The sequence below is a fragment of the Homo sapiens genome, chromosome 1, assembly GCF_000001405.40.
Source record: "Homo sapiens chromosome 1, GRCh38.p14 Primary Assembly".
NCBI classification, from domain to species: domain Eukaryota; kingdom Metazoa; phylum Chordata; class Mammalia; order Primates; family Hominidae; genus Homo; species Homo sapiens.
This window is the reverse complement of record NC_000001.11, coordinates 109,028,887-109,053,617: the sequence shown is the minus strand read 5'-3', so window position 1 is coordinate 109,053,617 and position 24,731 is coordinate 109,028,887. Positions and strand designations below refer to the sequence as shown.

The 24,731-nt window shown below is 45.7% G+C and overlaps 1 protein-coding gene and 2 pseudogenes across 14 annotated transcripts in view, besides 3 other annotated features; 1 reads left to right on the top strand and 2 right to left on the bottom strand.

The window, feature by feature from the left end:
- On the bottom strand, positions 5,957-6,835 carry RANP5 (RAN pseudogene 5; annotated as a pseudogene).
- Positions 7,213-7,492: a silencer, noted in NCBI's record as "fragment chr1:109588748-109589027 (GRCh37/hg19 assembly coordinates)". NCBI's record gives its function as "represses an EF-1alpha promoter that drives an FKBP-Casp9 reporter gene in an ReSE screen in phorbol 12-myristate 13-acetate-treated (for megakaryocytic differentiation) K562 erythroleukemia cells {active_cell/tissue: K562(+PMA)}" and the evidence as "EXISTENCE:reporter gene assay evidence [ECO:0000049][PMID:32094911]".
- Positions 11,319-11,868: a silencer, noted in NCBI's record as "silent region_1141". NCBI's record gives its function as "represses an Ori minimal core promoter by ATAC-STARR-seq in GM12878 lymphoblastoid cells {active_cell/tissue: GM12878}" and the evidence as "EXISTENCE:reporter gene assay evidence [ECO:0000049][PMID:35858748]".
- Positions 11,516-24,731, top strand: part of WDR47 (WD repeat domain 47) — a 71,889-nt gene continuing 58,673 nt past the window's right edge. For 8 of the 14 annotated variants that reach the window (NM_001142551.2, XM_011541028.4, NM_014969.6 and 5 more), the window contains exon 1: positions 11,516-11,756. The gene's annotated coding sequence lies outside the window, so the exon portion shown is untranslated. Of the gene's footprint in view, positions 12,099-12,645; positions 12,669-12,692; positions 12,751-24,731 lie in introns of those variants that run through there. The other 6 variants (XM_017000697.3, XM_047449522.1, XM_011541030.2 and 3 more) reach the window with 6 other exon arrangements.
- Positions 22,405-22,605: a silencer, noted in NCBI's record as "peak353 fragment used in MPRA reporter construct". NCBI's record gives its function as "represses an SCP1 promoter by STARR-seq MPRAs in K562 erythroleukemia cells {active_cell/tissue: K562}" and the evidence as "EXISTENCE:reporter gene assay evidence [ECO:0000049][PMID:32103011]".
- RPS27P6 (ribosomal protein S27 pseudogene 6) lies at positions 23,242-23,587 on the bottom strand (annotated as a pseudogene).

Genomic DNA, 24,731 nt, shown 5'->3' with positions numbered 1-24,731 from the left:
AGAGGCGTCCCCCACCACCCTCCCGGACGGGGCGGCTGGCCGGGCGGGGGTTGCCCACGACCTCCCTCCTGGACGGGGCGGCTGGCCGGGTGGGGGCTGCCCCCCACCTCCTGGACGGGGCAGCTGCCGGGCGGAGACGCTCCTCACTTCCCAGATGGGGCGGCTGCTGGGCGAAGGGGCTCCTCACTTCCCAGACGGGGTGACTGCCGGGCGGAGGGGCTCCTCACTTCTCAGACGGGGCGGCCGGGCAGAGACGCTCCTCACCTCCCGGACGGGGTGGCGGTCGGGCCGAGAGGCTCCTCAGTTCCCAGACGGGGTCGCGGCCGGGCAGAGGCGCTCCTCACATCCCAGATGGGGCGGCGGGGCAGAGGCGCTCCCCACATCTCAGATGATGGGCGGCCGGGCAGAGACGCTCCTCACTTCCTAGACGGGATGGCGGCCGGGAAGAGGCGCTCCTCACTTCCCAGACTGGGCGGCCGGGCAGAGGGGCTCCTCACATCCCAGAGGATGGGCGGCCAGTCAGACGCTCCTCACTTCCCAGACGGGGTGGCGGCGGGGCAGAGGCTGCAATCTCGGCACTTTGGGAGACCAAGGCAGGCGGCTGGGAGGTGGAGGTTGTAGCCAGCCCAGATCACGCCACTGCACTCCAGCCTGGGCAACATTGAGCACTGAGTGAGCGAGACTCCGTCTGCAATCCCGGCACCTCGGGAGGCCGAGGCGGGCAGATCACTCCATGTCAGGAGCTGGAGACCAGCCCGGCCAACACGGCGAAACCCCGTCTCCACCAAAAAATGCAAAAACCAGTCAGGCGTGGCTGCGCGCGCTTGCAATCCCAGGCACTCTTCAGGCTGAGGCAGGACAATCAGGCAGGGAGGCTGCAGTGAGCCGAGATGGCGGCAGTACAGTCCAGCCTCTGCTCGGCATCAGAGGGGAGACCGTGCAAAGAGGGAAAGGAAGAGTGGGAGGGGGAGGGAGCCCAACTAATTTTTGTAGAGACAAGATTTCACAGTGTTGGCCAGGCTGGTCTGGAACTCCTGACCTCAAGTGATTGCCCACCTCAGCCTTTCAAAGTGCTGGGATTACAGGTGTGATTCTGATAAGTGGAATTCTAAAGTTAGAAATAGGGCTGGGTGAGGTGGCTCATGCCTATAATCCCAACACTTTGGGAGACCTAGGCAGGCAGATCACTTGAGCCAAGGAGTTTGAGACCAGCCTGGGCAACATGGCAAAACCCTGTCTCTACAAAAATTAGCTGTGTGTGGTGACGGGCGCCTGTAGACCCAGCTACTGAGGAGGCTGAGGTGGGAGGATTGCTTGAGCCTCGGAGGTGGAGGTTGCAGTGAGCTGAGATTACACCACTGCACTCCAGCCTGGGCAACAAAGCAAGGTCCAGTCTCAAATAACTAAATACAATGAAATAAAGTAAGGAGCAAATTTCTTATGTGTTACCAGTAGATTGATAGAAGTTCCTATTTGAACTTTTGTACAAAATCTCATGTTATTTGTAGCACTGAGACTTCCATGTATAATACTTTATTATGGTTATACCTAATATTATGATTATTTCTGCTTACACAGAGAACCTGGTAGACTGCCTTGATATCATTGGGTACATTCTTTTAGGATCAGAACAATTGCTAAAGCAAAAATCATTTTTCAATTTGTATTTGCATGGCCATTTTAGATAAATAACTGAAATTTTATTGGAAAGAGCCTGTATAGTTACTGACCAAGCTCTAAAAGAAATGCTAATACTATACTTATTTTTTCTGAAATAGGGTTTTTGTAAGTATTTTGGAGGCATATGAACTTATAAGACACCAATCAAGACTTGTTTTGGTGATTATGACATTTCTTCCATCTTTATAGGAAGTTCTACTAAATGGTCACAAGTTTATTACCGGAAACTTTCTAACCTTATCCTAAAACACTTATCTGAAATTATGATGCTTAATGTGCTTTAGGTATTACTAACATTTCCTAACATTTAGTTTCCCCTTTTAAAAATTTTGACATATGGCCAGGCACGGTGGCTCACGCATGTAATCCCAGCACTTTGGGAGGCCGAGGCAGGTGGATCACGAGGTCAGGAAATCAAGACCATCCTGGCTAACACGGTGAAACCCTGTCTCTACTAAAAAAAAAAAACACAAAAAATTAGCTGGGTGTGGTGGTGGGCGCCTGTAGTCCCAGCTACTCGGGTGGCTGAGGCAGGAGAATGGCGTGAACCCGGGAGGCAGAGCTTGCAGTGAGCTGAGATTGTGCCACTGCACTCCAGCTGGGGCGACAGAGCGAGACTCTGTCTCAAAAAAAAAAAAAAAATTTACATATTTCACTGACTTGATTAAAGTGGATGTTTTCCAAAATAATTTATTTTATTTTTATTTTCAAGAATATATCAGATATTTACTTAATATAAATAACAGCATATCTCTTTTATGTACAACCAAGTTTTTGTTTAGAGGTCTAGATAGGAGCCCTGGAAGACCCAGGTAATTCTACCTCTGTTGCCCAGATTGGAGTGCAGTGGCGCGATCTCAGCTCACTCCAACCTCTGCCTCTTGGGTTCAAACGTGCGCCACCACGCCCTGCTAATTTTTGCATTTTTCAGTAGAGACAGGGTTTCTCCATATTGGCCAGGCTGGTCTCAAACTCCTGACCTCAGGTGATCCGCCCCTCTCAGCTTCCCAAAGTGTTGGGATTACAGGCGTGAGCCGCGGTGCCTGGCCCTTGAATCTGTTTAAAGGAGAAGCAGCAGTGGTGGTGCTTTGTTCTCCTAAAGCCTCACTTAGGTTAATTCCATATCTTGGTTAGGTGCTACTGGCTCTGAAGCACAAAGCTTTTTGATGTGTGTATGTATGTGCGTGTTCTAGTAATGGGAGTGGAGCTTCTAAAACACGTTCTCTTAGCTCCACAAACTTCCCCTGAATTCCTTGAGGCAAAGTTTCCTAGCTTGGGCTTGTACTCAGACTCCTTTCTCCTATTTGGGGAAAACCAAAAACTCCTATTCTCCTTTTTAGAGATAACATTTAAGAATCACATTAAAAGAGGTCCACCTTAGCCTATAGGCGTTTAAGTCACAAGGCACCATGAATCATTCTGTCATGTAAGAACCTGCATTTCCAAATGATGCCTAACCTAGTTCCTGACCCAGAACTGGCATTCAGTTAATATTTGGTGAATGATTGAGGCAGTACCTTGGAATCTGAGGACAGTCCTTCATCTAAGCAAGCCTTGTCCTCTTTGAACAATTGACTGCTATTGCAGCAACTAGAGTGAAAGACAGGAAGATCTAATCTTAACCAGTGTGGCTGAGTATAGAAGGAAAGGTGATACCTTAGGCTACCAGCTATTAAGGTTGTAGTGTAAACTTTGATGTTACATTAAGAAACAAATATACAGTCAATGCGTTTATAAGTATGCAAGTGATAAGATGTACCAGATGTCTTGTGTTTCGGTGCCTCTTTCTTTCTCTCCTTCCACCTTCTTTTTTCCAGAAATATAATGGTGGTATATTTGCTTCTAACAATGTTGAGTCCTATTCATTGAAAATGCATATGCAAATAGCACTATGCTATAGGTTATGGAGAATATAAACACTAATAAGACCTCTTATCTTCTCTACCTTGTCAGAATAGGGTCCATTTTATTCAAGCTAAAATTTCTGGCTGAGCATGGTGGCTTAAGCCTATAATCCCAGCACTTTGAGAGGGAGTGCAGTGACACAATCATGGGTCACTGCAATCCTTGACCTTCCAGACTCAAGCGATCCTCCTGCCTCAGTCTCTCCAGTAGTTGGGATAACGTGTTACCATGGCAGGCTATTTTTTTTATTTTTATTTTTAGTTGAGATGGGGTCCCACTATGTTGCCCAGGCTGGTCTCGAACTCCTGGGCTCAAGGGATCCTCCCACCTTGGCCTCCCAAAGTGCTGGGATTACGGGCATGAGCCACTGTGTCTGGCCCAAAATTTCTTTTTTTTTTGAGATGGAGTCTCGCCCTGTCGCCCAGGCTGGTGTGCAGTGGCGCCATCTCAGCTCACTGCAGGCTCCGCCGCCTCCCAGGTTCACGCCATTCTCCTGCCTCAGCCTCTCGAGTAATTGGGACTACAGGCACCTGCCACCATGCCCAGCTAACTTTTTGTATTTTTAGTAGAGACGGGGTTTCACCACGTTAGCCAGGATGGTCTCAATCTCCTGACCTTGTGATCCACCCGCCTCGGCCTCCCAAAGTGCTGGGATTACAGGCATGAGCCACCGTGCCCGGCCATCTGGCTCAAAATTTCTTAGAACAATTAGCCAGGCAAGGTGGCTCATGCCTGTAATCCCAGCTACTCAAGAAGCTGAGGCTAGAGGATAGTTTGAGCCCAGGAGTTTGAGACTGTGGTGAGCTATAATCATGCCACTATACTCCAGCCTAGGTGACACTTTAGCCTGGGTGAGAAAGTGAGACTCTGTCTCTTAAATAAATAAATAAATACTAAAATAAAATTTTCAGTTAATATAATGTAGAATGAGGCAGGGCACGGCGGCTGATGCCTCTAATCCCAGCACTTTGGAGGGTGAGGCTGGCAGATCACTTGAGGTCAGGAGTTTGAGACCAGCCTGGCCAACACAGTAAGACCCCGTCTCTACTAAAAATACAAAAAATTAGCTGGGTGTGGTGGTGCACGCCTGTAATCCTAGCTACTTGGGAGGCTGAGGCAGGACAATCGCTTGAACCAGGGAGGGAGAGCTCGAAGTGAGGTGAGATTGCACCACTGCACTTCAGCCTAGGTGAGACTCCCTCTCAAAGATAAGAAATCATACTAATGTGGTAGAATAGAAAAAGAAAGTTTTAAGAGTCAGAATGTCTCTGCTACATACTAGCTGTGTGACCTTGGGCAAGTTATTTTCTTTAATCACTCAAATAGGAATAATTAATAGGTGTTTTAAGGGAGATTATGAGGCTTAAATGAGAACATAAGCAAAGCATTTCATTTTGTGTTCAATGAATGCCAAAGCCAATCTAATACTTCACTGGGGTTTTCCTTCCTTCCTTCCTTTCTTTTCTTTCCCTTCCTTCTTTCCTTCCTTCCTTCCTTCTCTCCTTCCTTCCTTCCTTTTCTTTCCCTTCCTTCCCCCCTCCGTCCCTCCCTCCCTTCTTTCCTTTTCTTTCCCTTCCTTCCCTCCTCCCTCCCTCCCTCACTCCCTCCCTCCCTCCCTCCCTTCCTTCCTTCCTTCCTTCTGATGTAACTGTGGCAGTCTTATATTTGCAACTCAAGAAGGAATCAACTGCGTTCCAAAACAGCTAAATATGCAGGTCACCCAAAAAAGGTTTTGTTTGTTTGTTTGTTTGTTTTGAGACAGAGTCTCACTCTGTCTCCCAGTCTGGAGTGCAGTGGTACGATCTCGGCTCACTGCTGCAATCTCTGCCTCCCAGGTTCAAGCAATTCTCCTACCTCAGCCTTCTGAGTAGCTGGTATTACAGGCGCCCACCACCACTCCCAGCTAATTTTTGTATTTTTAGTAGAGATGGGGTCTCATCACGTTGGCCAAGCTGGTCTCGAACTCCTGACCTCAAATGATCCACCCGCCTAAGCCTCCCAAAGTGCTGGGATTACAGGTGTGAGCCATGGCGCCTGGCCATGAAGGTATTATTATTATTATTATTATTATTATTATTGTTATTATTATTGAGACAGAGTCTCTCTGTGTTGCCCAAACTGGAGCGCAGTGGTGCAATCTCGGCTCACTGCAACTTCTGCCTCCCGGGTTCAAGCGATTCTCCTGCCTCAGCATCCTGAGTAGCTGGGATTACAGGCGCCTAACACCACGCCTGGCTAATTTTTGTATTATTAATAGAGATGGGATTTCACCATGTTGGTCAGGCTGGTCTCAAACTCCTGACCTCGTGATCTGCCCACCTCGGCCTCCCAAAGTGTTGGGATTACAGGCATGAGCCACTGCGCCTGGCACAGGTATTTTTTAAACTGCCACATTCACTCCGAAGCCCATTCATCTCCTTCAGCATCCCACAGATGAAGCACATGTTCCGCTTAGCTTGATAACAAGGTGAGGCACACTTTGCACTGCTGACGTCACAGGAAAGCTGTCTATAAAACTATACTTCTGATACTGGGCTCCAGCTTTGTTCTCACAGGTAATCATCCTCATCCAGGAGAGCAGCTGTCTGAGCAAACTCTAACTCATGCTCTTATTGCTCTGTCAAAGCTGGGTCCATGACAACCTCAGGTAGGGGAGTACAGGGTAGCAAACCCCAAGTTAGGGCCTCCAATGAGCTTCCTAGCAAGCCAGAGAAAGGGCTTTTCAAAGTTGTAGTTAGTTTTGGCAGTAATGTCATAGTACTGAAGATTCTTCTTTCGGTGGAAGACAATAGATTTTGCCTTCACTTACCTGTCCTTAATATCCACTTTGTTGCCACACAACATCATGGTGATGATTTCACACATTGGCACCAAATCTCTATGCCAGTTAGGCACATTCTTGTACGTAACTCTTGGTGTTACATCAAACATTATGATGGCACACTGGGCTATGGGTTCGATGTAATAACCATCTCTGTTCACCACATTTCTCCTGGCCGGCTGTATCCCATTTATTGAACTTAATACATCTTCTGTTGGTGTGGAACACTTGGGTGATGAACCTCAACACCCATACCTCTCAAATGTGGCTACATACCTCTCAAATTCACCAGTCAAATGATGTTTCACCAAAGTAGTTTTTCCAGTACCACCGCCACCAACCAATACAAGTTTGAACTAGACCTGGGGCTCTCCCTGGGCAGCCATCATGGTGTTCCTTCCAGAAGTGTCTCCTGCCCGTTGGACTGAGTGGTTCTTCTGTTTTTCAAGCACTCTCCCTAGCAGGTGATCGGTTGTTTGTCAGATTGTCCCTGATTAGTTACTCTTTCTAGAGCTAGTAGAAGATTTAAATATTTAAAGGATGCTGGGCTGGGCACGATGGTTCATGCCTGTAATCCTAGCTCTTCGGGAGGCCAAGGGGAAAGGATCATTTTAGCACCAGCCTGGGCAACAAGGCAAAACCCTGTCTCTACTTAAAAAAAAAAAAAAAAAAAATTAGCCAGGCATGGTGGCTTGCACCTGTAGTCTCAGCTACTGGGCTGGGGAAGCGGAGGTGGAAGGATCGCTTGAGCCCAGGAGTTCTAGGCTGCAGAGAGCCATGACTGCCCTACTACACTCCAGCCTGGGCGACAGAGTGAGACACTGTCACAAAAAACAAACAAACAAACAAACAAAAACCCTCTAGAATTCTATGATTCTGACCCAATAATTAATTATTAACGATTTGTTAATAAATGTAATTAATTCCTAGCTGGGCACGGTGGCTCACATCTGTAATCCCAGCACTTTGGGAGACTGAGGTGGATGGATCACTTGAGGTCAGGAGTTCGAGACCAACCTGGCCAACATGGTTATACCCATTCTCTACTAAAAATACAAAAATTAGTTGGGTGTGGTGGCATGGGCCTGTAATCCCATCTATTCGGGAGGCTGAGAAAGGAGAATTGCTTGAACCCGGGAGGCAGAGGTTGCAGTGAGCTGAGATCGCCCCACTGCACTCCAGCCTGGGCGACAGAGCAATACTGTCTCAAAAAACAAAAAAAAAAAAAAAGAAAGAAAATGTAATTAATTCCTAAAGTTTCAGAATATGGGTCCATGGGGAAAAGGTTCTAACTGATAAAAATGTGGGAAATGGGATAAAAAATGAAGTTAAAAAAAAAAGGATACTGGTTCTCAAAACTTCTTGTTTGATCATAAAGATTTAGAAGTGGTTTCTTAGATGAACTATACTAGCAAAATAATTGAGATACTACTTTCAGGAAAAACGTATCTGCCTACTTTTTCAATTTAAACACTCTGTAATGTGTTGTTTGTTTGCTTGTTTTGTTTTCAATATCAAGATCCTGGGTAACATTCAATTATGTTTATATTTATTTGCCTGTCACTTATCATTAAGAGGGTTCATAATGAAGACTTTCTTCCAGGAGTTACTGACTAGGCAATTGAAATTTTGTAGTTCAGCTTTTGTGTGTTGTTTTCTCTGAATGCATAAGTATTTTTCTTAGAAATGTTTCCTCGGCTGGGTGCAGTAGCTCATGCCTGTAATCCCAGCACTTTGGGAGGCCATGGCGGGAGGATCACTTGAGGTCAGGGGTTTGAGACCAGCCTGGCCAACATGGTGAAACTTCGTCTCTACTAAAAATACAAAAATTAGCCGAGTGTGGTGGCACACAAATTAGCTGAGTGTGGTGGCACCTGCCTGTAATCTCAGCTACTCAGGGGGCTGAGGCAGAATTGCTTGAACCCAGGAGGCAGAGGTTGCAGTGAGCTGAGATTGCGCCATGTACTCCAGCCTGGGTGACAGAGTGACTCCGTCTCAAAAAAAAAAGAAAGCCAGGCACAGTGGCTTATGCCTGTAATCCCCAGGACTTTGGGAGGCCAAGGCAGGCAGGCGGATCACGAGGTCGAGACCAGCCTGACCAACATGGTGAAACCCTGTCTCTACTAAAAATACAAAAACTAGCTGGGCATGGTGGTGTATGCTGTAGTCCCAGCTACTCTGGGGGCTGATGCAGGAGAGTCGCTTGAACCCAGGAGGAGGAGGTTCAGAGTGCCAAGATCGCACCACTGCACTCCAGCCTGGGCGACACAGTGAGACCCCATCTCAAAAAAAAAAAAAAAAAAAGGAAAAAAAGAAAAGAAAAGAAAAAAAAGAAATGTGTATCTTCAAGCTCTCGCTTCTTTTATCTTGAACTGGACAAGATTTTGTATTCCCAGAAATATGGTTTAAATTTTGTTTATTTTTAATTTTTATAGTTACATAATAGTTGTAGATATTTCTGGAGTAAATACAATGTGTAATGATCAAATCTGGGTAATTGGGATATCCATCACCTTAGAAATGCATTATTATTATTAAGACACAGGGTCTTACTCAGTCACCCAGGCTGGAGTGCAGTAGTGTGATTATAGCTCATGGTAGCCTCGGACTTTGAGCTCAAACTATCTTCTCACTTCAGCCTCTCAAGTAGCTAGGACTGCAGGTGTGTCTCACCGTGTCTAATTTTTTATTCTTGTTTTTGTAGAGAGGGAGTCTCACTATGTTGCCTAGGCTAGTCTCTAACTCATGGCCTCATGTGAGCCTCTGGCCTAAGCCTCCCAAAGTGCTGGGATTTCAGGCATGAGCCACTGTGCCCACCCATTTATTATTTCTTTTCTTTTTTTTTGAGACGCGGTCTCGCTCTGTCACCAGGCTGGAGTGCAGTGGCCCAATCTCGGCTCACTGCAACCTCCGCCTCCCGGGTTCAAGTGATTCTCCTGCCTCAGACTCCCGAGTAGCTGGGACTACAGGCGCACACCACCACACTCGGCTAATTTTTGTATTTTTAGTAGAGACAGGGTTTCACCATGTTGGCCAGGATGGTCTCGATCTCTTGACCTCTTGACCTCGTGATCTGCCCGCCTCGGCCTCCCAAAGTGCTGAGATTACAGGCATAAGCCACCACGCTTGGCCTGCCATTTACTATTTCTTTGTGTTGGGAACATTCTGAATCTTCTCTTCTAGCTGTTTGGAAATATAGAATAGATTATTGTTAACTATAGTCACCCAATTATGCTATTGAGCACTAGAATTTATTCCTGCTACATAACTGTATTTTTGTACCCATTAACCTCTTTATCCCCCCTTTGCCCTCCACTACACTTTCTAGCCTCTGGTAACCACCATTCTATTCACTACCTCCACGAGATCAATTCTTTTAGTTCCCACATATGTGTGAGAACGTGCAATATTTGTCTTTTTGTGCTTGTCTTGTTTCACTTAACATAATGTCCTCCCGTCCCATCCATGTTGCTGCAAATGACAGGATTTCATTCTTTCTTAATGGGTGAATAAGATTGTATTGTGTGGCCGGGCGCGGTGGCTCACGCCTGTAATCCCAGCACTTTGGGAGGCCGAGGCGGGTGGATCACGAGGTCAGGAGATCAAGACCATCCTGGCTAACACGGTGAAACCCCGTTTCTAATAAAAATACAAAAAAAAAAAAAAAAATTAGCCGGACCTGGTGGCGGGCGCCTGTAGTCCCAGCTACGCGGGAGGCTGAGGCAGGAGAATGGCGTGAACCCGGGAGGCGGAGTTTGCAGTGAGTCGAGATGGCGCCACTGCACTCCAGCCTGGGCGACAGAGCGAGACTCCGTCTCAAAAAAAAAAAAAAAAAAAAAAGATTGCATTGTGTATATGTACCACATTTTCTTTATCCATTTGTCTGTTGATTGACATAGGTTGATTCTATATTTTGGCTATTGTGAATAGTACTGCAATAAGCATGGGAGTGCCAGAAATATTTTTGATGTTTATTCTCTTTACCAGACTGTTACCCCATTTTCCCCTTTTGGGAGGTCCAGCTCACTCTGGACTTTCGCCTCTGTGAGGATGATGTTCTTTTTTCTGTGAGACGGAGTCTCTCGCTCTGTCACCCAGGCCGGAGTGCAGTGGCATGATCTCGGCTCACTGCAACCTCCGTCTCCCAGGTTGAAGCGATTCTCCTGCCTCAGCCTACCAAGTAGCTGTGATTACAGGAGGCTTGCCAGCACACCCGGCTAATTTTTGTATTTTTAGTAGAGACGGGGTTTCACCATGTTGGCCAGGCTGGTCTCAAACTCCTGACCTCAGGTGATCCGCCCGCCTCGGCCTCCTAAAGTGCTGGAATTGCAGGCGTGAGCCACCGCGCCTGGCCGAGAATGATGTTCTTACAGGTTTGTGTAATTGTATTCTTCCTTATGGTTATACTTCCTGGATGCTTAATTAAGCTCGGTTGAACATCACGTATATTTGTGGAATAAGGGGCTTACAACCAACAGGAGTAGACAAAACCTGAACATATTAAATGTTAAGTAACTGAAAAATGCTTTCAAGGCAGATCAGCTTTGCAAAATGAGAAACCAGGAAGGGGACAAACAAACTACTGGAGTTTTCTGGGACGAAGTGGGACCTAGGAAAGCAGCGAAAGAAGGGTAGAAGGCAACATTAATTTCATTAACCTTTATTAATTATCGGGGAGGAGTATGAAGAGTCAATCCTAATGCGCAGTCTTCTCCATTTGCAGGCGACAATCCTGTTCGTGCTATTTTGGGACATGGGGTCACCGGCCAGCTAAGGGTCTACGTCCCTGCCACCAGTCTCACGCTATTGCCGCACCCGTTCTGCTACTCCCCCGGGCCCCTAGCCGGTCCCTCCAAGCCCGACCCCCGCCCGCCCCGCCCAGGCTTTGGTCCGCCCCGCCCAGGCTTTGGTCCGCCCCGCCCCTCCCCGCCCCAGCTTTGGGCCCGCCCCTCCACGCCCCTCCCCGCCCCGCCCCGCCCCGCCGACTCGCCCTTCGGCTCAGGCACCTGCCTGGCCGCCCCGCGCGGCGGGGTCCTGAGGCGCCTCGGGGAAGCGCGGCGATTGGCTGCCGCTCGCGGGTAGAGCTCGGCTCCCCGGCACTTGACAACCGCAGTCTGCAAGAGGCTGAGCTGAGGAGTCGCTGGGCCGGGAGGGGCGGACGTGAGAAGGACGGATTGACGAACTGATGGATTGACGCGCGGGCGGTAGGAGGGAGGACCGACGCCAAACCCAGACCGCCGCCGTCGTGCTCCTGCCGCAGCCCGGAGCCGGCCGCTTCGGGGCCCTGGCCGCCGGCCTCCCAGCCGCGTTCTCCTCCGCCGCTCCTCCGGGCTTGCCCTGGAGCCCTCAGGTGGGTGACTCCGGGAGTCGGAGGCTGGGTCGGTCCGCTGCACACCTCGGGTTGCCATGGTCACCCGTCGCCTCCTGTCACCACCTGACACGGCTCCGACCGGGCGGCCCCGAGGACTGTGTTTGCGGCCCCGGAGAGGGGTCTTTAGTGGGCTTGGGTGCCGACTGGGAGGGGGCTGGGGTCGTGGGTGAGGCCCCAGCATCGCGGGGTGAGGATCTGCGAACTGCTGGGCCCCGGTTCGAGGTCACCGGTCCTGGACCACACCTTTCCCACATTACCAGTTGGATTCTGGGGGCAGAGCGACGCCCCTCGCCCTGGCACTGAGCAGCAAGTGAGCGCGAGGTTCGTGCCCATCTCGCCGCTGCGCCGATTCTTCCTTCCTCGCCCCTTGGTCGAGCCCGTGCGAGAACTGAGGGGCGCGCTCGCGTCCCTTTCTGGGCACGCCTTGGCCCGGAGGAAGAGAGGGAGCGGCGGGGCTGGGAGCCCCGCTGGGGCCGGTTTTGGCCTTTCTCACATCAATGGTCGGGATGGGAGCAGGCCTTTGGGGATCTGGGTGTGGTCGCGGAAAGGGGCAGCGACTCGATTTAGAACTGGGATTGCGCTGGAGGGGCGCCTGCGTAGAAGAACGCAAGGTTGTGGAACTCAAAGGGTTAAACCGCTTCCCTTTATTGGGGAGAAAAATATTGGAACTCTAGCTCTGGGGCGAGGCCATGGGCAAAGGGGGCGGGGGCGGGGGGCGAGGGTAGGCCGGGGCGGCATTTGGGCTTTTGACCAGATGATTTTTCCTTCTCTGTACCCAGACGTGCAGTTAGTAACCGTGCATGGTATCTGAGGGGACCGTTTTTTTTTTTTGGCAACTTGGTTTTCTCTGCATAATGAAAGGAGAAGTCTTTGTTCCACCCAGATTCGTAGGTTGTGATCCTAATACTTATTTCTCTCTTTGTTGGAGACTCTGTAGAATGCCTCAAAAAGTTAATGGCACAGAAATGAACATGTAGGTTTAAAAAATGCTATAAATCTTTTTTTCACAGTAAATTCAAGTAGAATTTTTTTGTCTCCAGTGTTGGCATATGTTGCATTGGCATTTTACTAAGAAGGAGAAACGCCTAAGAGCCCATTTTCCTTTATATGGCATATTGTCGAGGTCTCATTTAGGAAGAAGATGAAATGAATAATTCTACTTTAGGTTTGGGAGATTAGGAGAGATTGCTTCCAATAGGAAAGAAACATTATTACACGGTAATGGAAAAGTCAAGTCACAACAGTATATTGTTAGGTAAAAAAGCCAAAACCCAAACACTTGAATTTGGATGCCATTATGAAGATGTAAATTTTTTTTTTTTTTTGGACGGGATTTTAACCTGTGTTTATCTCCCACTGGTCCACTTCCTGGTTCTTTTCTCCCTCGCCTTAAAAACCAGTACTGTTAAGAATGTGTCATAAGAGAACAGGGGTACTATCCTATGTTACTACTTACATAATGGTGTTCAACCTCTTTTCCTGTTTGTGAAATAGAATATATTAGTTATTTAATGGGCGGCATATGAAATGCTTAATGTATGCTGCAGTTTCAGAAACGCTTTAGTTATGAAAAGATGTGCAGTTTTCCTTAGTAGATCAGTAAGCTGAAAAATCAGATTACCTGTATTTAAGCTTTCTTTTGCTACTGATTGCATTCTTGTAAGAGCTGCTAAGCTTAACATTGACTGATTTCTCATTCTGTAAAATGGTGATGCTTGCTATTGTTTTAGTCTGAGAATGGGCTTTGAGTTGAAAGCACTTTGGAAGGCATCTGTTGATTACCTTTTTTTTTTTTTTTTTTTTTTGAGACGGAGTCTCACTCTGTCATCCAGGCTGGAGTTCAGTGGCATGATCTCGGCTCACTGCAGCCTCTGCCTCCTGGGTTCAAGCGATTCTCCTGCCTCAGCCTCCCAAGTAGCTGGGATTACAGGTGCCTGCCACCACGCCCGGCTACTTTTTGTATTTTTAGTAGAGATGGGGTTTCACCATGTTGGCTAGGCTGGTCTCGAACTCCTAGCCTCAGGTGATCCACCCGCCTTGGGCTCGCAATGTTGGGATTACAAGCTTGAGCCACCGTGCCTGACCCTGTATATTATTTTTGAACAGAAGACTTGAACCCAGGTCTTCAGACTCCAAATCCAATGCTGGCCCACACCTGAGGATACTTCAGTTTTGAGACTATTACACCGAATAGCCAAAGCTTGCATATTTCAACTAATTTTTCTCTATGTTGAGTTTGTTTCTGTTCAAGTGAAAAGATATCCTTAAAAAAGGGTTTATACCGGCTGGGCGTGGTGGCTTGTGCCAGTAATCCCAGCACTTTGGGAGGCCAAAGCGGGCGGATCACGTGAGGTCAGGAGTTTGAGACCAGCCTGGGCAACATGGTGAAACCCTGTCTTTATCAAAAATATAAAAATTAACTGGGCATGGTGGCGTGTGCCTGTAATCCCAGCTATTTGGGAGGCTGAGGTAGGAGAATTGCTTGAACACAGGAGGCAGAGGTTGCAGTGAGCCAAGATCATGCATGCCACTGCACTCCAGCCTGGGCGACAAAGCGAGATTCCACCTCAAAAAGAAAAAAAAAAAGGATTTATACCACACACTCCCTTAAAACCTTTCTTTTGTGTTCTATAGTCTTATTCACTGTAATAGCTCGATCATTGTATCCCAGTTTGTAGCATGTTGTTAATACATAGTAAATGCTCATCACTCATTACCCACCTGAACTTCTCCTGTTTAAATGGCTTCAGATGAATATTATCACAAGTAGGAGTTTCTTCATATAGTATGTTTAACATAATTGATCTCAGTGAACTTTCCAATATTTATTTATTTATTTATTTATTATTATTGTTATTATTTGAGATGGGGTCTCGCTCTGTTGCCTAGGCTGGAGTGCAGTGGCGTGATCTCGGCTCACTGCAACCTCCGCCTCCCAAGTTCAAGTGATTCTCCTGCCTCAGCCTCCCAAGTAGCTGGGATTGCAGGTGCACATACCCCCACACTTGACTAATTTTTGTATTTTTAGTAGAGACAGGGTTTCACCATGTTGGCCAGGCTGGTCTTGAATGCCTGACCTCAAGTGATCCACCCAGTTCGGCCTCCCAAAGTGTTGTGATTACAGGCGTGAGCCACTGCACCTGGCCTGTTTATTTATTTTTTGAGACAGGGTCTCACTTTATCGTTCAGGCTGCAGTACAGTGGCATGATGATAGCCCACTGCAGCCTCAAACTCCTGGGCTCAAGTGATCCTCCTACCTCAGCCTCCCGAGTAGCTAGGACTACAGGTGCTTGCCACCACACCTGGCTAATTTTTGTATTTTTTGTAGAGATAGGGTTTTGCCATGTTGCCCAGGCTGGTGTTGAACTCCTAGACTCAAGTGACCTGCCTGCCTTGGCTTCCCAAAGTGCTGGGATTACAGGCATGAGCCACTGCACCTGGCTCGATATTTTTTAAATTACTGAAATATTTTCAAAAATAAGTAAGCTTATTCCAAAGTAAATTTTTATACTTCACAGCACAGTAGCTCTCCCGCAGCAATTCATTAGCAGTCCTTTTGACACATTGTCCTTACCAAGGCTAGGAGCTCTGAAGGGAAGGAATTTACATTTATTGAGCACCAGTTGCATGCTTGCCACTCTGCTAGGAGCTTGTTCTCATTTTACAAGTCAACATCCTGTTTTAACTGAGAAATAGTACTGGGCTGGGCGAGGTGGCTCATACCTGTAATGCGAGCATTTTGGGAGGATGAGGTGGGAGGATTGCTTGAGCCCAGACGTTTGAGACCAGCCTGGGCAACATAGTGAGACCTCATGTCTACAAACAATTAAAAAAAAAATGCTAGCTGAGTGTGGTGGTGCACACCTGTGGTCCTAGCTACTGGGGAGGCTGAGGTGAGAGAATCACTTGAGCCTGGGTGGACAAGGCTCTACCAGCCTGGGAGACAGTGAGACCCAGTCTCAAAGAGAGAGAAAGAAAGAAAGATAGAAAAAAATAGTACTACAAGCAAAAAGACATAAAAATTTTATACTATTTATAATTACTAGTTATGTAGTATGCTTGACATATGTAACTCAAATAATGTTTTTTTCCTATGGCTAAGTACCATGTTTTGTGACTCTTGTTGTTGTGATGAAAAAGAAAATGGAACCTTTTATAAAATCTTTTGAGAAAATTTTATAGAATTGGGTTGGTTTTTTTTTTTTTTTTTTTTGAGACGAGGTCTCGCTCTGTCCCCCAGGCTGGAGTGCAGTGGTGCGATCTCAGCTCACTGCAAGCTCCGCCTCCCAGGTTCATGCCATTCTCCTGCCTCAGCCTCTCTGAGTAGCTGGGATTACAGGCGCCCGCCACCAAGCCCGGCTAATTTTTTATATTTTTAGTAGAGACAGGGTTTCACTGTGGTCTCGATCTCCTGACCTCGTGATCTGCCCACCTCGGCCTCCCAAAGTGCTGGGATTACAAGCGTGAGCCACCACGCCCAGTCTTGTTTTGTTTTTTGTTTTTTTTTTTTTAGACGGAGTTTTGCTCTTGTTGCCCAGGCTGGAGTGTGATGGCGTGATGTCGGCTCACCGCAACCTCTGCCTTCCAGGTTCAAGTGATTCTCCTGCCTCAGCCTCCCTAGTAGCTGGGATTACCGGCATGTGCCACCACGCCTGGCTAATTTTGTATTTTTGGTAGAGACGGGGTTTCTCCATGTTGGTCAGGCTGGTCTTGAACTCCCAACCTCAGGTGATCTGCCTGCCTCGGCCTCCCAAAGTGCTGGGATTACAGGCGTGAGCCACCGCACCTGGCGATTTTCTTTGAAACTTTAAGAAGAGCTTTGGAAATGAAATTCCGGGAAGTGCAAAAACAGCATTTCACAAATAGATGATGATATAAAGAAATTTTAGGTGTATTCATTGTAAAGAGCCTAGATGATGGGAATTGTTAGTTTCACTGTATATAGTTCTTGATCAGACCACACCTGGAGTGTTGTGCTTTATTATTTATTTATTTATTTATTTTGAGATGGAGTCTCACTCTGTCGCCCCAGGCTGTAGTGCAGTGGCATGATCTCGGCTCACTGCAAGCTCCGCCCCGGGGTTCACGCCATTCTCCTGCCTCGGCCTCCTGAGTAGCTGGGACTACAGGCGCCTGCCACCACGCCCAGCTAATTTTTTGTATTGTTAGTAGAGACGGGGTTTCACCGTGTTAGCCAGGATGGTCTCGATCTGCTGACCCCGTGATCCGCTTGCCTCGGCCTTCCAAAGTGGTGAGATTACAGGTGTGAGCCACCGCGCCTGGACTATGTTTTTTTTTTTTTTTTGAGACGGAGTCTTGCTCAGTCGCCCAGGCTGTAGTGCAGTGGTGCCATCTCGGCTCACTGCAACCTTCACCTCCTCCTGGGACTACAGGCGCACGCTACCAAGCCCGGCTAATTTTTGTATTTTTAGTAGAGACGGGATTTCACCATGTTGGCCAGGATGGTCTGGATCTCCTGACTTTGTGATCCACCTGCCTCAGGCTCCTATAGTGCTGGGATTACAGATGTGAGCCACCGCGCCTGGCCTATTTTGGGTTCTTTAGGAGGGGGATTAACAGATATTTAGAGGAGGATGACGGGAGTGGGAAGGGATCTAGAAGCTATCTTCTGGTGAAGAATGGTTTTTGTAAGGATCGATTAGACAATGAATGTAAGATCCTAAAATAGTACCCAGTAGTTTTTGCATTGTAAACAAAGCAGTTAATCCTGTTTTGGGGATTGTACTTTAGTTGGTACCTTTATAGATTAAAACCTTTGAGATCTAATCCTTTAATATGTATATATTTTTCATTTTCATAGTTCTTTTTTGCTTTAAAATTAAAAATTGAGCCAGGCAAGTTGGCATATGTCTATAGTCTTAGCTACTCAAGAGGCTGAGGCAGAAGAATTGCTTGAGCGCAGGAGTTTGAGGCTGTAGTGTGCTATGAACAGGCCCGGCAATAGCAACTACACTGTAGTCTGGGTAGCATAGTAAGACTCCTTCTCTTAAAAAAAAAAAAAAGAAGATACAAAATTAAAAATTGGCTGGGCATAGTGGCTCATGCCTGTAATCCCAGCATTTTGGGAGACCGAGGTGGGTGGATCACCTGAGGTCGGGAGTTCGAGACTAGCCTGGCCAACATGGTGAAACCCCGTCTCTACTAAAAATGCAAAATAGCTGGGTGTGGTGGTGGGCGCCTGTAATCCCAGCTACTCGGGAGGCCAAGGCAGGAGAATCACTAGAGCCCAGGAGGCAGAGATTGCAATGAGCCAAGATTGCGCCACTGCACTCCAGCCTGGGCGACAGAGTAAGACTCCGTCTCAAAAAAAAAAAAAAAATTTAAAAATTGTATTCATATGAGAAATGCATGTATTAACATACAAGTAATGCATGAATATATATTGGTTGTTAACTCTTCAGATAAACTGCAAAGAGTAAAAAATAAAAAAGTCTCCTTCAACCCTTTTCTTCTCCTAGATCCCTGCCCTCCATCCCAATCCCATGCCTTTCTTCAGAGATAATCACACTGAACAGTTTGGCATGCAACATTCCAGACCTTGTGTGTGTGGGGTTTTTTTTTTTTTTTTTTTCTGAGACAGGGTCTTACTCTTTTGCCCAGGCTGGAGTGCAGTAGTGCAATGTTGGCTCACTGCAGCCTCAACCACCCAGACTCAAACAATTCTCCCACCTCAGCCTCCTGAGTAGCTGGGACCTCAGGCCTGCACCACCACGCCTGGCTAATTGTTTTTTTTTTTTGGAGAGACAGGGTTTCGCCATGTTGCCTTGAACTCCTGAGCTCAAGCTATCCTCCGATCTCAGCCTCCCAAGTGCTGGGGTTATAGGCATGAGCCACTGTGCCCGGTCTCAGACCTTTGTATATTTATTTAGACACAGAGATATTATGCCTCTCTCCTTTTAAATAAATGGGCCTGTTTATATTCATTCATTCAACAAATATTTATTGATAGCTGTACTATTCTGTGATGCACTTTTCCTTTTTAGGATATATAGATATACGTCACTGTGTTAGTATTCTATAGCAACAGTCCTCAGCCCTTTTGGCACCAGGTACTGGTTGGTTTACTGTCTTCCTAGAAGAAAATTTTTCCACAGACCAGGGGTGAGGTGGAAACCATTCTACCTCAGATCAACAGGCATTAGATTCACATAAGGAGACTGCAGTTTAGATCCCTCATATGTAGGGTCCGTGCTCCTATGAGAATCTAATGCCACTGCTGATCTAACAGGAGCGGGACTCAGACAGTAATGCTCCCTTGTCTGCAGCTCACCTCCTGCTGTGCAGCTCAGTTCCTAACAGGCTGTGGATCAGTATTGGTCTGTGTCCTGGGGGTTGGGGACCCCTGTTTTATAGTATGAATTTACCATAATTTATTTACCAATTCTGCTATTAAGGACAGTTCAGTTTATTTCTAATTTTTCTCTATTACAAATAAATTTTCAGGGAACATTTTTTATTTGCAAGTATTTTTGCAGGCTAGGTTTCTATAAGAATTGGAATTGGGTAGTCTACATTTAAGTTTATTTATTTGAGATGGAGTTTCACTTTTGTTGCCTAGGCCAGAGGGCAATGGCGTGATCCCAGCTCACTGCAACCTCCGCCTCCTGGGTTCAGGTGATTCTACTGCCTCAGCCTCCCAAGTAGCTGGGATTCCAGGCATGTGCCACGACGCCTGGCTAATTTTGTATTTTTAGTAGAGATGGGGTTTCACCATGTTGGTCAGGCTGATCTCAAACTCCTGACCTCAGGTGATCCACCCACTTCGGCCTCCCAAAATACTGGGATTACTGGCATGAGCCATCATGCTTCACCAACATTTTTGTAGGTAAAAATTTCATGCTGTCAAATTCTCTCAAAAAGTCAGTCCCAGTTTACATTCTTCTTTTACTTTTATTTTTTTGACACAGAGTCTCACTCTGTTGCCAGGCTGGAGTGCAGTGGCACGGATCTCGGCTCACTGCAACCTCCGACTCCCTGGTTCAAGCAATTCTCCTGCCTCAGCCTCCTGAGTAGCTGGGATTACAGGCATGTGCCATCACGTCCAGCTAATTTTTGTGTTTTTAGTAGAGACAGGGTTTTACCATGTTGGCCAGAATGGTCTCCATCTCCTGACCTTGTGATCTGCCCGCCTTGGCCTCCCAGAGTGCTGGGATTACAGGCATGAGCCACCACATCTGGTCCCCAGTTTACATTCTTAACAACAGTATATGAAGGCATTTGCCCACACTCTTGCCAAAACTAGATATTATCGGGTCTTCTTTTTTCTTTTTCAAAACTGGTAGGCCGTAAATGGGTAACTCATTTTACTGTGTGTGGAAGTGAGCATGTTGGTACCTTGTTATAAAACTATTATTGAGGTTGAGCATCTTTTCACAAATATATTGGTATTCATAGTTCTTTTGTGAATTGTCTATATTTTTTGCTCATTTTTCGTCTGGAATTTTGAGGGTATTGATTTGAAGATGCTATTTATATGCTCCAGATAATAACCATTTAGCTTTTTTTTGTTTTTGTTTTTCCTTTTGAGGCAGAGTCTCATTCTGTCGCCCAAGCTGGAGTGTAGTGGCGTGATCTCGACTCACTGCCACCTCTGCCCCCCTGGGTTCAAGTGATTCTCCTGCCTCAGCCTCCCGAGTACCTGGGATTACAGGTGCCTGCCACTGTGCCCAGCTAATTTTTGTATTTTTAGTAGAGACGGGGTTTCACCATCTTGGCCAGGCTGGTCTTGAACTCCTGACCTCATGATCCACCTGCCTTGGCCTCCCAATGTGCTGGGATTACAGGTGTGAGCCACTGCGCCCAGCCCCATTTAACTCTTTATGTGTGTTTTACTTAGTCCTACTTTGTGCCTTGTCTTTTAACATAATTGTTTGTGGCAAGTTTCTGTTGAATGGAAGATTTACGTTTTGTAATTTTTTTTTTTGGACAGAGTGTCACTCTGTCACCCAGGCTGGAGTGCAGTGGTGCAATCTCAGCTCACTGCAACCTCCACCTCCCGGGTTCAAGCAATATTCCTGCCTCAGCCTCCTGAATAGCTGGGATTATAGGCACATGCCACCATGCCTGGTTAATTTATGTATTTTTAGTAGAGACAGGGTTTTGCCACGTTGGCCAGGCTGGTCTTGAACTCCTGACCTCAAGTGATCCGCCCACCTGGCCTCCCAAAGTGCTGGGATTACAGGTGTGAGCCACCATGCCTGGTCTACATTTTACATTTTTAGTGTCAAAGTTGACAATTTTTTTTCTTTACCTTTTCTGCATTACATGACTTAATTGAGCAGCTTGAGTAAGAAAATCTTTTTTTTTTTTTTTTGAGACAGTCTCGCTCTGTCGCCCAAGCTGGAGTGCAGTGCTGCGATCTCAGCTCACTGCAAGCTCCACCTCCCGGGTTCATGCCATTCTCCTGCCTCAGCCTCCCGAGTAGCTGGGACTACAGGCGCCCGTCACCACGCCTGGCTAATCTTCTGTATTTTTAGTAGAGACGGGGTTTCACCGTGTTAGCCAGGATGGTCTCGATCTGACCTCGAGATCCACCCGCCTCCGCCTCCCAAAGTGCTGGGATTACAGGCATGAGCCACTGCGCCTGGCCAGAAAATCGTTTTTATCATGTGAATTGTTAGTACTTCAGTAATTTTAAACATACTTGTTTAAAAATTTCTGGGTTTGAATATGGAAAGAACACACATACCTTAGTCCTTAGTCTCATAAAGAAAGATTGAGGCCAGGTGCAGTTGCTTATGCCTGCGTTCTCAGCACTTTAGGAGGCTGAGGCTGGCAGATATCTGTAGCCTAGGAGTGGGAGACCAGCCTGAGCAACATGGTGAAATCCTGTCTCTACAAAAAACACAAAAATTAGCCAGGTATGGTGGTGCATGCCTGTAGTCCCAATTACTGGGAAGGCTGAGGCGGGAGGATCTCTTCAGCTCAGGTGGTCAAGGCTGCAGTGAGCTAAGATCGTGCCACTGCACTTCAGCCTGGTGTTGAGAGCAAGACCCTGTCTTAAAAAAAAAAAAAAAAAAAAAAGAAAGAAAGATTGAAATGATATTCAAATCAGATCTGAGAAGAGGTCTTGGGTTATGGGGAAGAAATACAAATTCCTTTGAAATATTATTACTTCATTATATGCATTAGTTTACTAATTCCTTCTAGTAGTTTGCAAATGTAAATTTGTTATTTATGTTTTATTATTTTTAATTTTTTGAATAGGTAATATTTGTCCATGGTACAAAATTCAAAAGGGTATATAGTGATCTTCCCATTCCTATTCATTTTAGGTTCAGGGGTACATGTACAGGTTTGTTATATAGGTAAACTCATGTTACAGGGCTGCTTTGTTGTACAGATTCCATTTCTATTCTTATCTAGTTTTCCTTCTAGGATACAACCAGTATCACCAATTTCTTATATTTTTTTCCAGAGATATTTTATGCATGTATACAACATACAGTTTATATTAGTTTCTTTTTATAGTTATATAAAGTTGCACCTGCTTTAAACATAATTTATTTCTTCTGGCCAAAAATCATTCACAGTTCCAGAAGGTAAATTAAAGTAATTGATAAATTGAGAACTGCTGTCAACAGTAAGCAGGGGCACGTGCTGCACCCATGTTACAAATGTTAGGTGATTAGCAGACATGACAGAGCTTTGGTTAGAAGAGCTTTTCTTTTGTTTGTTTGCTTAAGTGATCTAATGCAAATCTATTTTGTTTCTTCTTATTAAACAGACTTTATTAATTACAGGCTTCTGATTATCCCGGACTTTATATTTTCTATATATTCTTGATGTTTCCCAAGAATATGTACTTTCTGATATTGAAATGTAAGTTAAAGCAAATTATAAAACTTGAAGGGAAATCATAGAAATTAGACAAACGAATCCCCTTACTTTATGAATGAAGAAATTGAGGCCCATAGAGGTTAGTGACTTGCAACATCACATATATATTCCTGCAGGTCTGGACATTTAAAATTAAATGACCTGGCAGCAACATAAAGTTTTTTGAATGCCATGTTATTAAAAACAGCTAGCAGTTTTTTTCTCCTTTTTTTTTTTTTTTTTAAAGGAAAAGATGCAGTAGTCCTGTGTTGCAGTTTGGTATTTTATTGAAAAGCTTCATGACACTTCATCTTCTTGTCTGCATTTTTGTTTGTGAAGTTCTGTTGTAAAGCACTATTGTTCCATGTTAGGCACTCTGTAATACTTGGAAGATTAAAGAGAGCAGTTTTTATTGTGTGAGATGGAATTGCAGATTAATGGAGCCTTTATTAAGCACTTTTGTCATAACTATAAGGTTTATAATGACTGTGCCCTAGTTCTCTTAACCTTATATTTATAGTAATTCTTGGCCTGTTGTGTTTTTTTTCCTTCATAATGTGTGTTTAAGTAACCGCATTGCAGATGAACATTTAATTTTTATTTTATTTTATTTTATTTTTTATTTTTATCAAAAATGTGCTTATTGAGATGGTTTCCCACTCATCTTGATTCAGAGTGCTTTTAGTGCTGCTTCTTCCTGAAGGAACATCCTTCTGTAAGCCTTGCTTTTCCTCCTGTAGGCTGGCAGAGGACAGTGGAGCAGCCAACACACAAAACTACCATTTGTGCATGGCTAAAGACCGTGGTGATTTATATTATCCTGGGCATTTCACACCCATGAAGTAGGAATTGGGGCTCTGCACCAGGCGTTTCTTCTTGTGTTTCTTCTTCTCTTCTTCTGGGGAGGGATGAAGGAGATCTTTTGCGAGAGGCATGTTCTCCTGTGGGTAGGTCGTCACTGCCAGAAAGGGACATTTAATTAAATCATATCTGCTTATATTTGGTTAGAAAGCTACCAGTGATATTTTTTCATGAAGTTTTTCCATATCTTTGTATGGAAATACACAGAGTCAATATATTTTTATTACTAGAATATTTTCTTTCTTTCTTTCTTTTTTTTTTTTTGAGACGAAGTCTTTCTCTGTTGCCCAGGCTGGAGTGCAGTGGTGTGATCTCAGTGTACTGCAGCCTCCACCTCCTGGGCTCAAGCAGTTCTCTGCCTCAGCCTCTCGAGTAGCTGGGATTAGAGGTGCCCACCACCACGCCCGGGTAATTTTTTTAAAAAAATATTTATTTATTTATTTATTTATTTATTTATTTATTTATTTAGAGACAGAGTCTCGCTCTGTCACCCAGGCTGGAGTACAGTGGCGCAACCTTGGTTCACTGCAAACTCTGCCTCCCAGGTTCAAGTGAGAATCAAGTGATTTCTCCTGCCTTAGCTTCCTGAGTAGCTGGGACCACAGGCATGCACCACCACGCCCGGCTAATTTTTGTATTTTCAGTAGAGACAGGGTTTTATCATGTTGGCCAGGCTGGTTTCGAACTCCTGACCTCAGGTTATCCACCAGCCTCAGCCTCCCAAAGTGCTGGGATTATAGGCATGAGCCACTGCGCCTGGCCAATTTGTTTGTATTTTTAGTAGAGACGGGGTTTCAGCATCTCGGCCAGGCTGGTCTTGAACTCCTGACCTCGTGATCCACCTGCCTCGGCCTCCCAAAGTGTTGGGATTATAGCCATGAGCCACTGCGCCCGGCAGTTTCTTATGTATTATTAACATTTTACCTTTAATCTTAGATTTCTAAAAATAATTTTATTTCTAACCCTTTAATACATCCTTCTAATCTTGGTTTACTAAGATGGTAATCAATAGGAGTCCACATAGAGACCCCATCTGGAATTAATTTCAGTGTATGTTAATTGTATCTAAGGACTAAAATACTAAATACCTTCTAGCTGGTTTCCAGACATACTTATATTTAAAGAACACTCTTATTTCTTTACCTAGTCTGGATATTGGATATAAGTAAAACTTACTTTTTAAAGGAAAATTCACAATTACATTTTTGTGATTTTAACCAGAGGCCAGAAGGGAAAGAGGAAAGGCAAGGATG